A 9,314-nucleotide genomic window follows, 5' to 3' on the forward strand; every position below is an offset into this window, starting at 1 on the left:
GTATTTTTAGTAGAGACGGGGTTTCACCATGTTGGCCAGGCTGGTCTTGAACTACTGGTCTCAAGTGACCCGCCTGCCTCAGCCTCCCAAAGTGCTGGGATTACAGGCATAAGCCACTACGCCTGGCCTAATTTTGTATCTTTTGAAGCAATCTAAGGCCAATCACAAAGAGTGGCTGCTCACTCCCTTGCCTGATGTGGCCTATTTAAGCCCTTTGTCTGCCAGCCAGGAGGACTTGAAGGAGAAGGAGAAAGCCTCCTGGAGCAACCTCTCCATGGATGAAAAAGTTGAGTTGTGTTGCATTCAGTTCAACAGGAGCTTTTCTGGGATAAACAGGGGCATGAAAAAGTGGAAGATGGTTGTGGGCACTGCCATGTTCTTTGGCTTCACAGCTCTTGTTCTGATCCGGGAGAAACACTGTGTATGGTCTCATCCCACACGGCTTTGATGAAGAGTGTGGGCATGCAGACCAAGAGGATGCTAGACATGAAGTCAGTCCCATCTAGGACTTCTCTGCCAACTGGTACTACAACAAGAACCAATGGAAGTAGCAGAAGTCTGCTGTTTGTGCATCTGAACCTTGCCTTGTTCTGTCACTGCCAAGCAACTCAGCATATTTACCAGAAACTTGTTATGTCAAATAGTGCCAATGCTAATAAATGAGCAGTTTCCATGAAAAAAAAAAGTGGAAGGTGAAATGTGGTTAAAATTGGCATCAAGGGCTTCCTTAAAAGGAACAATGGGAACAGAAACCTTTAAGTGGCCACTTAGTGTCTGCAAGTGGTGGAGGGAACATTCTTCCCAGATGTCAGCCTCCATCTTTCTGTAATATTAGATGATGAAGTAGATTCTTCTTACATCAGCCATCTCAGTCTTCTCCCTGACTTGCAGTATTGCTTGGATGTCTGGAATCCTCAGCTGAGCTTTGAGAGTAGTAATCTCAACATGTACCCCAGGGGCAAGCTCAGATCCCCAAGTAAATACTAAATTCCAGAGAGGGTCCTATGCTCACTGTTGCCAAAAATAACCAGGTCTACAAGCTTCCTGTAAATTAAGGGCCCTTTCAACAAGTGTTTGACAGCTGAGTGATTCCATCTTTCTTACTTGTACTGTTTACTCTCAGCTATCTGAGAATAACCCTTTTGAGGGTTGCATTTTTAGAGGCTCAGCGTCTTCAGTTCTAGAAAATAAATGAGGATGTCACTAACTGTCCTAAACTTAAGCATTGTCGAAAATAAAATGCTGGTATTCCAAAAGTGGTCAGAGACCTTGAGTATTCTTTCCTACACTATCTTTGTGAGTGTCTTAGTCCTTTTTGTGTTGCTATAACAGAATACGACAGACTGGGAAATTTATAAAGAAACAAATTTATTTCTCACAATTCTGGAGGCTATGAAGTCCAACATCAAGGTGGTGGCCTCTGGTGAGGGCCTTCTTGCTGCATCATCCCACGGTGGTGGACAGAAGGACAAAAGAACATGAGAGAAGGAAGGGGGTCAAACTCATCTTTTTATCAGGAACCCACTTTGTGATAACTAATTTACTCCTCAGATAACTAACCCTGGGTACTCCTGAGACAACAGCATTAATCTATTCACGAGCTAACCACCTTAAAGGTGCCACCGCTCTACCTTGTTGTATCGAAGACTAAGTTTTCAACATCCAACACGTGAACTTTGGGGATACATTCAAACAGCAATAAGCAATGCTCACCTCGGCTCAATCTTTCCCAAATATATTTTCATCCATGGTATTTGTGTGCCTAAGAAATGCTGACAGCTAGAAATGAGGCAGAAAAGGAAAATATTCATAAATGTTGCTTTAGATAATAGTGCCTCTCAAGCCACTTGCTGCTTTTTTAACCAGCGGTAAAATAAAACTTGATTTTAGTAGCTATTCGTATTTTTTTTTCTGACTCGTAAAGAACTATGAAATGAAAACTAAGCTTTAAAAGCATTGCAGTTAATTGCTGCTAAGTCTCTCTCTTTCTCTCTCTATCTCTCTGTCTCTCTGTGTGTTTGTGTTTTAACACCTTCACATAATTTAGAAAATCAGGGAGATGAGGAATACAAATATGGGTCTAAATTACTCTTGGCTAATTACAGAACACTGTAATAGACTGACTAGCACAGAGCACTGCAGAGGGGGTTGAGGCTGGTGTTGAACTGCTGGACAGCTGAAGGGACACAGCACAACTGGGTGTCCCATGGTGGGGATGAAGGGGCAGAGGAAAGGGCTTTGTTCTGATAAAGCCCTTTTTCATTAGTTAAAATCAGTCCTGGCATAATATTTCCTTTAAAGACTGATCCTGTTAAATTGTGGGGAAGGCAGTAGTTTCAGCAATTGGAGGTGATATTTATGCTTTTCATCAATAAATAGACTCTACTGGGTCTGTAAGGCCTAGCTTCAAGTCCAGTCCTTGACAATATCATAAAATATATAAACGGGTCTTGGGTCCCCCTGCTTCTGCTGTACTCTTTTTCTCCTAGTTGTTTCCTTTTACCATTTACTAGGCTCTCAATTGTCTCCACTCAACAGGACATGCCTTGCTATATCAGTCACACTTTGTGTGTGAATTTAAGCCTATATATTTTCTCCCAAAGGGCAAAAATTAGTCCTTGGGGGCCAAAAAAGTCTTACTATTTTTACGTATAAATTACAAATATACATAGAATGCACAAATTGAAACACAGTATCTATATATCTGTGGTATTAAAATTTTATAGATGGGGGCAATTAGGAAAAAAAATCTAAAAAGGCCACTGAGGGGGTGGTGCAATAATGAAAATCAGGTTAGGAAACACTTCCTTAGATTGAGAGGCTTTGGCTCAAGTCTAAGTAAGTGGCCATTTCTCAGATGGTCAAGTCTTCAGCAAAACTCCTTGGCAATCTCTCTTTTGGGGGTAAGGAGGTTGAAGAAATTAATTGGGGCCCAGTGGCTTTTTTCAGTCACCCATAAGTTGCGGGTGGGGTTAAAATTAGAATTCATAGTGTGGTAAATCACTCCAGCCCAGGGAATGAAAGTTTTCAGAATCACCCAAAAAGCATTAGGAGGAAGAAGAAGGAAGAGAAGGAAGAGGAGGAAGAGGAAGAGAAAGAAGGGAGAGAGGAGGAGTGGGGGAAGGGAGCTGCTTGCTGGCATTTGGTTTCCTGTGAGGATCATTTATCCCTGTTTTTGGCTTTCCTTGGTTGAACATATTTGAGTGATAATGCCTTGGGATAAACTGGCATGCTGCCATGGGAGTTGAATTGCAGGAGGTAAATGCTTGTGGTATGTGGTTTCCCTTGACAGAAGTGCAATTCCCTCCTTCCCACTGACTCTCAAATCCAGCTCTGTGATCCTTCGGAGAACAATGCAAAGCTTTTCTTCCCTGGCTTTGGCATTTTCTGTCTTGCTGGCTCCTTTATTTGTTCACAGTCTTTGCTTTTGACTGAACAAGGTTTTGGTGCCTGATCTTTTTTTTTTTTTGAGATGGAGTCTCGCTCTGTCACCCAGGCTGGAGTGCAGTGGCGTGATCTCGGCTAGCTGCAAGCTCCGCCTCCCAGGTTCACGCCATTCTCCTGCCTCAGCCTCCCGAGTAGCTGGGACTACAGGCGTCCACCACCGCGCCCAGCTAATTTTGTTTTTTTATTTTTAGTAGAGATGGGGTTTCACCGTGTTAGCCAGGATGGTTTCAATCTCCTGACCTCGTGATCCGCCCGCCTCGGCCTCCCAAAGTGCTGGGATTACAGGCGTGAGCCACCGCGCCCGGCCTGGCACCTGATCTTGCATCTTACATCAGCCGGGGACATAGGCACAGTCAGTGAGTTTTGATAAGTCTTGCAGATAAATAGCCAGCTCTTGAATCACCATCAGGGCACCCAAGCAACACAGCGTTCTTACATGGATTAAATTAGCACCAAACTTTAAGAAGTGAAGAAAGAAGCACACAGGAAGTTGCCAACCCATCACTCTAATTCCTTACCTAAATTGCTAAAACAATCAATAGCAAAGACAATCTGGAAGCCCACTTGGGAAGCTAAGGTGATAAATGTGTTGTAGTCCCGTAATGGAGGGGATGGGGTTGGCAAATGGAAGCCCTTCTCAAGGGGGTCATTGGGGGGCTGCCATGGTAACCTCGGCATTGAACTCCTTGTATCTCTTGCGGATAGGTCTGGAATGTATTGGCCTAATTGGTTGGAACAACCAAAGGGAAGGGTTCACAGGAGGGTTGTCTGAGGTTCTTCTATGGTGGGTCACATGATCTGAAATCCATATGTGTTCGGGCCACATAAATTTTTCATTGATAGCAATAGCAAGTTGAGAGAGAGTCCCTGGGGGGCAAATGGGTATCAAGCTTGATTCAAACATGAATCACATACATCCAAAGCCTTATTTCTATCTCTATTTTGGTCATTCTTTATAGTGTCCTGAGTTTAAGGCATGTTTTTAGCAGTATTGGACATTAAGGGTTCAAGTTCGCATGATTAATTGCATTGGATTTGGTTTATACTAACTAATTAATCCATGCTGGCTGGCATGACACCTGGCAGTGGTCAGTTACACAAGGATAATGGAGTACAGATGGTCGGACCCTGCAGCCTATGCATTCATGTAGATCAAACAATTTAGAAAAAACTTTTCTTTTTCCTCAGAATCTTAGTAAGCTGCCCCTTAGAGACAGGTGGGTTACAATTTGTCATCCTCAGATTTTGTATAGAATGCCTAAGGTTGAGTGTGACAGCAATTGAGAGCTAGGGGTTCCTTTGAGCACACTGTCCAGAAGAGGAAGCTGTGAAATGGTGTGAACATCACTGTATTGGAGCCAGAAACCCTGGTTTCAAACCTCAGTGCTAATGAATTCTATGTGAACGACGCTGGACAAGTCGCTTGCATCTTTTTGACCCTAGTTTTCTCCTCTGTTAAGTGGAGATAATTCTTCCTTTCTTAAAAATTAGATTTTGTGTTTGTATGTGAAAGATCTTGGCATATTGTAGGCAGGCAATAGATGCGTAGCTTGATTTTTAAGGAGGCACAGGCCAAGTTTTTGTCAGGGAAGCAGTTACACAGATTCTCAGGAAGTATGTGATGCTGAAGGACTCACAGGAAAGGAGGGCCATGTCTATTTTCCTGAATTGACTTAAGGAGTCTTCCTGTTGAATGAAGCATCCTATTCTGTTCCTTGTCTTGCTAATGATCCTGCAGATGGTCCTGAAGAAGCGTGTATCATTTTTACCCACATTGCTCTGGCCAGAACTCAGTCTCATGGCCTCTGCCTAGCTCAAGGTGGGTGGGAGAGGCAGTCCACCCCTGGCTGGGCAGTGACTTCCCAGCAACATCTTCACATTATGGTGGGGTGGGAACATGCATCCTTGTTCAATAAACTGTCATTGATACAGTGCTAAATGCAGAAGGTCCTGGCACACAGAGGAGAAGTCTCATGGGATCATAGGAATTAAGGGGAAAGGAGAAAATGTTGGTTAATCTATCAAAAAAATTTTCTTGTTACAGTAAGAAAAGAGAACTCTCTGTCTCTAGCACCTGACCTCTTAGCCACTCTTGTAAATGAGTGCTTTTAAAGTCACCTGCCTGAGAGTAGTTAAAACACCACTTGTCAACCATTTGATTTCTTATTCCTTGTAAGCAGCATTTCAGTGCATTTAGGGACATAATCTACTGGATACAGTGGGACACACCAGTACAAAAAGGGATTTTGAATCTAATAGGATTTGAAAGGTAAGTATATTTTTATTTTCATGTATCGTGTGGGAAATTGATAGAAGGAGACATTTCAGGGTCTTGGCTCAAGCTTACATGGCAGATTAATAACTTGTCAGGGAACAGGACTCAGGAGTCCAGCAATCCCAGCCACGGCTTGTGGGACCCATATACTACATGGGTCAACTACACTTTGCAGCTCCTGCAGTTAAATGCAGTGTTTTTGTTACTCTGGCCGTGTGAGGAAATAAATATCTTCTGCTTTAATTCCCCTGCCCCGCAACCTCCTGCCCAAACTTCTTTTCAGGTTGGGTGCATTAACCATAAAACTACTTTTGTGGGAAAACAACTTGCCATTGAACTGTGCTGTGTGATTGGAAATTATGAGACATCTTCTCCATTTAATTCCCTAGGAAAATGAGCAGTTGCTAGACCTGGAACCTGTAGCAGCAGGCAAAGGCAAGGTCTGGATTAGGTACAGACCTCCTGTTTCGCCTTCCTGGGGTCCCAGTGTTCACAATGTTTTGTATTCCTGGACATGATACTTTTCTTCATGTCCTCCCTTTTCAGAATTGAGTTAAAATGGAATTTTCCTTAATGATGGTAGGTGAAAGCAGTTTTCGCAGAATCAACTTCAATTTTAAGAGCACCTTGAGGATTACCAGGAGTTTGTATGTTTTATTGTATTGAATTGTATTGGATTAATAGGCATTTCTGAAGCCAAGTTTCTAGAGTTCAGCCTGTCAATTTTTTTCCCCTCTTGCCTTCACTTCAATGATCATAATGGAGAGAATGATCTTTCAGTGAAACTTCTGAATGGCATGCCTTGTCAATGAATGGTGTCTGTGGAGATACAGTCTCCTTCAGCCATTGTAACCTGATACCATTTCAAGTTGAGGGGCTGGCTTCCTGTGAAGCATTTTCAAGGAATCAGGTGTTTGTTTTGGAGCTATTGTATTTTCTACTCAGGGGGTAAAAGGACAATAATGAGTTCAAGTGTATAAAATGTATCCTTAGGTTCAGCTGTCCTAGGGGTTAGTGCTTGAGGACAGAAAGTAACCCAATGTTTTCTTTGATAAGTGCCACTCCAGAGAGGACACTAGAATAGTACCAAATGCAGTTGCTTGCTTTATAGAAGAATCTTTCTTTCCTTCCTTCCTTCCTTCCTTCCTTCCTTCCTTCCTTCCTTCCTTCCTTTCTTCTTTTTTTTTTTTTTTTTCAGACCGAGTTTCACTCTTGTTGCCCAGGATGGAGTGCAATGGCATGATCTCGGCTCACTGCAACCTCCACCTCCTGGGTTCAAGTGATTTTCCTGCCTCAGCCTCCTGAGTAGCTGGAAATACAGGTGTGTGCCACCACGCCTGGCTAATTTTTCGTATTTTTAGTACAGATGGGATTTTACCATGTTGGCCAGGCTGGTCTCGAACTCCTGACCTCAGATGATTCATCTGCTTCAACCTCCCAAAGTGCTGGCATTACAGGCATGAGCCACTATGCCCAACTAAGATGATATGGTCTTGTTGGGCCTAATCTTGTGGTGAGAAGGGATTGTGGGACCTGCTTTGAAATCTTCAAGGTCATTTGTGTGTCTCGTAAGGCCAGGTATTCCAAACGTGGTTGTGCTTTGGAATCATTTAAGATTTATTTTATTTTTATTTGTTTGTGGGGGGGGAGTTTCTTTCTTGTTGCCCAGCCCGGAGTGCAATGGCGCAATCTCGGCTCACCGCAACCTCTGCCTCCCGGTTCAAACGATTCTCCTGCCTCAGCCTCCCGAGTAGCTGGGATTACAGGCATGCGCCACCACACCCGGCTAATTTTTGTATTTTTAGTAGAGAGGGGGTTTCTCCATGTTGGTCAGGCTTGTCTCAAACTCCCGACATCAGGTGATCTGCCTGCCTCGGCCTCCCAAAGTGCTGGGATTACAGGCATGAGTCACTGTGCCTGGCCAAGATTTTTTTTTTTTAACGTAAATTATTTAGGTCCCACCCCTGACATACTCTGAAATTGGGAGTGGGGGAGTCTGAGGAATTCATGTGTATATTTAAAATGTGCCTCAAGTCGATTCTGCTGTAGTCAGTTTCTCACATTTGGGAACTGTGCTGGTTGTCTCCTATTTGCTCCTGGATCATCTCCTCTCCTCTCTTTGCTCCAGGACGCTGACTACATTGAGGAACTCTCTTCCCCTCTGGCTTCTTGGATTTGATCAGTGGGAACCCTCAACAGGAGATCAGAGGGTGGAAAGATGAGGCAGTCATGGTACACATCTCGTGGCTCTCCCCACACTCCCCATGGTGTCTTCATGTCTGTGGGCTGGTTAAATGGGAGAGTTCCCTGATCCCCCTCCCAGGAGACCTGCTCCGTTGCCTCAAACCCCTTGCGGGAGGGGGAGCACTCAGATGGGCAGGTGCAGAGGCTGGGGTGGGTGCTTTGGGCTCTGGCCCCATGGTAGTGTCTTGGGGTGGGTGCCTGCAACCCCAATGTTACAATATTCTCTTAGCCCTGCCATCCGCAGATGGCTTTAAGTGTTAAACAGCTCAATGGACCCTCTGCCTTTTCTCAAGGGCAGAGGGCCAGTGTGACAGCTTTCTGTATCCTGAGCTCTTGCCCAGCGTCCCGGAAGCATCGGGTCACACACAGGCTTGAAGGATGAATGCGAGGTTTTAATGCACGGTGGAGGTGGCTCTCGGCAGGATGGATAGGGAGCTGGAAGGAGGGGAGATGGAGTAGGAAGATGATCTTCCCTTGGAGTGGGCTGTCCAGCAGCCAAACTCCTCTCTGACCACCCTGGCTGAATTCCTCTCGAGTTCTCTCTGCTGCACTGTTCTGCATTGTCTGCTTGTCTCGTCTCCTCCTCTGCTGGTCTGAGCTGGAGCCTGGGGTTCAGGGTTTATATGGGTATAGGATAGGGGGTGTGGCATACCAAAAGACCACTTTTTGGGTGCAAAAACAGGAATGCCTGTTCTCATTTAGGGCCACAGGTGTCCAGGCTTGTGGGTGGGGCCTTTGTTGGGGAACCGCCCTCTTCTAGCATTTCTCTGTCTCCCGTCCATATCGCTGGCAGTAGCCTTTTACCTGAAGCCACTGCTTCTCTCAAGCCAGCACTGTCTTCTTTACTCTCTTCTTCCATTTTCTGATAGCCACTCCCTTTTCTTTGCTTTTTGAGCCAGGGTGGGAGCACAGGTCCATCAGCAGCCCAAAGGGGCTCACAGGTCAGCCTTCAGGGGCAGGGAAGGGCAGGGAGCTGCTCTGGAGGGGCAATCGGGAGATCGGGCCCAGATTCATAAAAAGCTACTTTCATTCATTTTTGAAACTTGTTCAAGATCTACATCTAAAGTAGTAGCTGAACCAGGCCAAATGCGTCTCCTACCCATCTCTCCAAAGCTGGAGTCTGCTTCTTGTCTTGCTAAACCCACTGAGATTGGGGCGGGGGTGGGGAGGGGGGCGGTGGTGAAGTGTCCCTCCTCTCAGGCCTGAGAAAACGACAGGACCATGAGGAAATCTGATTTTCCTGCAGGTATGGGAATGGGAGAGGAAAGCATGAAGCCATTTCCCTTTCTTAGAGTAGGTTCTGGATACTTCCTTTATCCTTAAGGAAACTCTTCTAAATGAACTGAGT

At 45.0% G+C, this 9,314-nt stretch overlaps 1 pseudogene, besides 1 other annotated feature; it reads left to right on the forward strand.

Annotated features, from left to right (window-relative positions):
* COX4I1P2 (cytochrome c oxidase subunit 4I1 pseudogene 2) lies at positions 1 to 547 on the forward strand (annotated as a pseudogene).
* Positions 8,146 to 8,648: an enhancer, noted in NCBI's record as "H3K4me1 hESC enhancer chr13:46254125-46254627 (GRCh37/hg19 assembly coordinates)". NCBI's record gives its function as "activates a minimal SCP1, AML or CMV promoter by ChIP-STARR-seq in primed H9 embryonic stem cells {active_cell/tissue: H9 hESC(primed)}" and the evidence as "EXISTENCE:reporter gene assay evidence [ECO:0000049][PMID:30033119]".

The sequence above is a fragment of the Homo sapiens genome, chromosome 13, assembly GCF_000001405.40.
Source record: "Homo sapiens chromosome 13, GRCh38.p14 Primary Assembly".
NCBI lineage: Eukaryota > Metazoa > Chordata > Mammalia > Primates > Hominidae > Homo > Homo sapiens.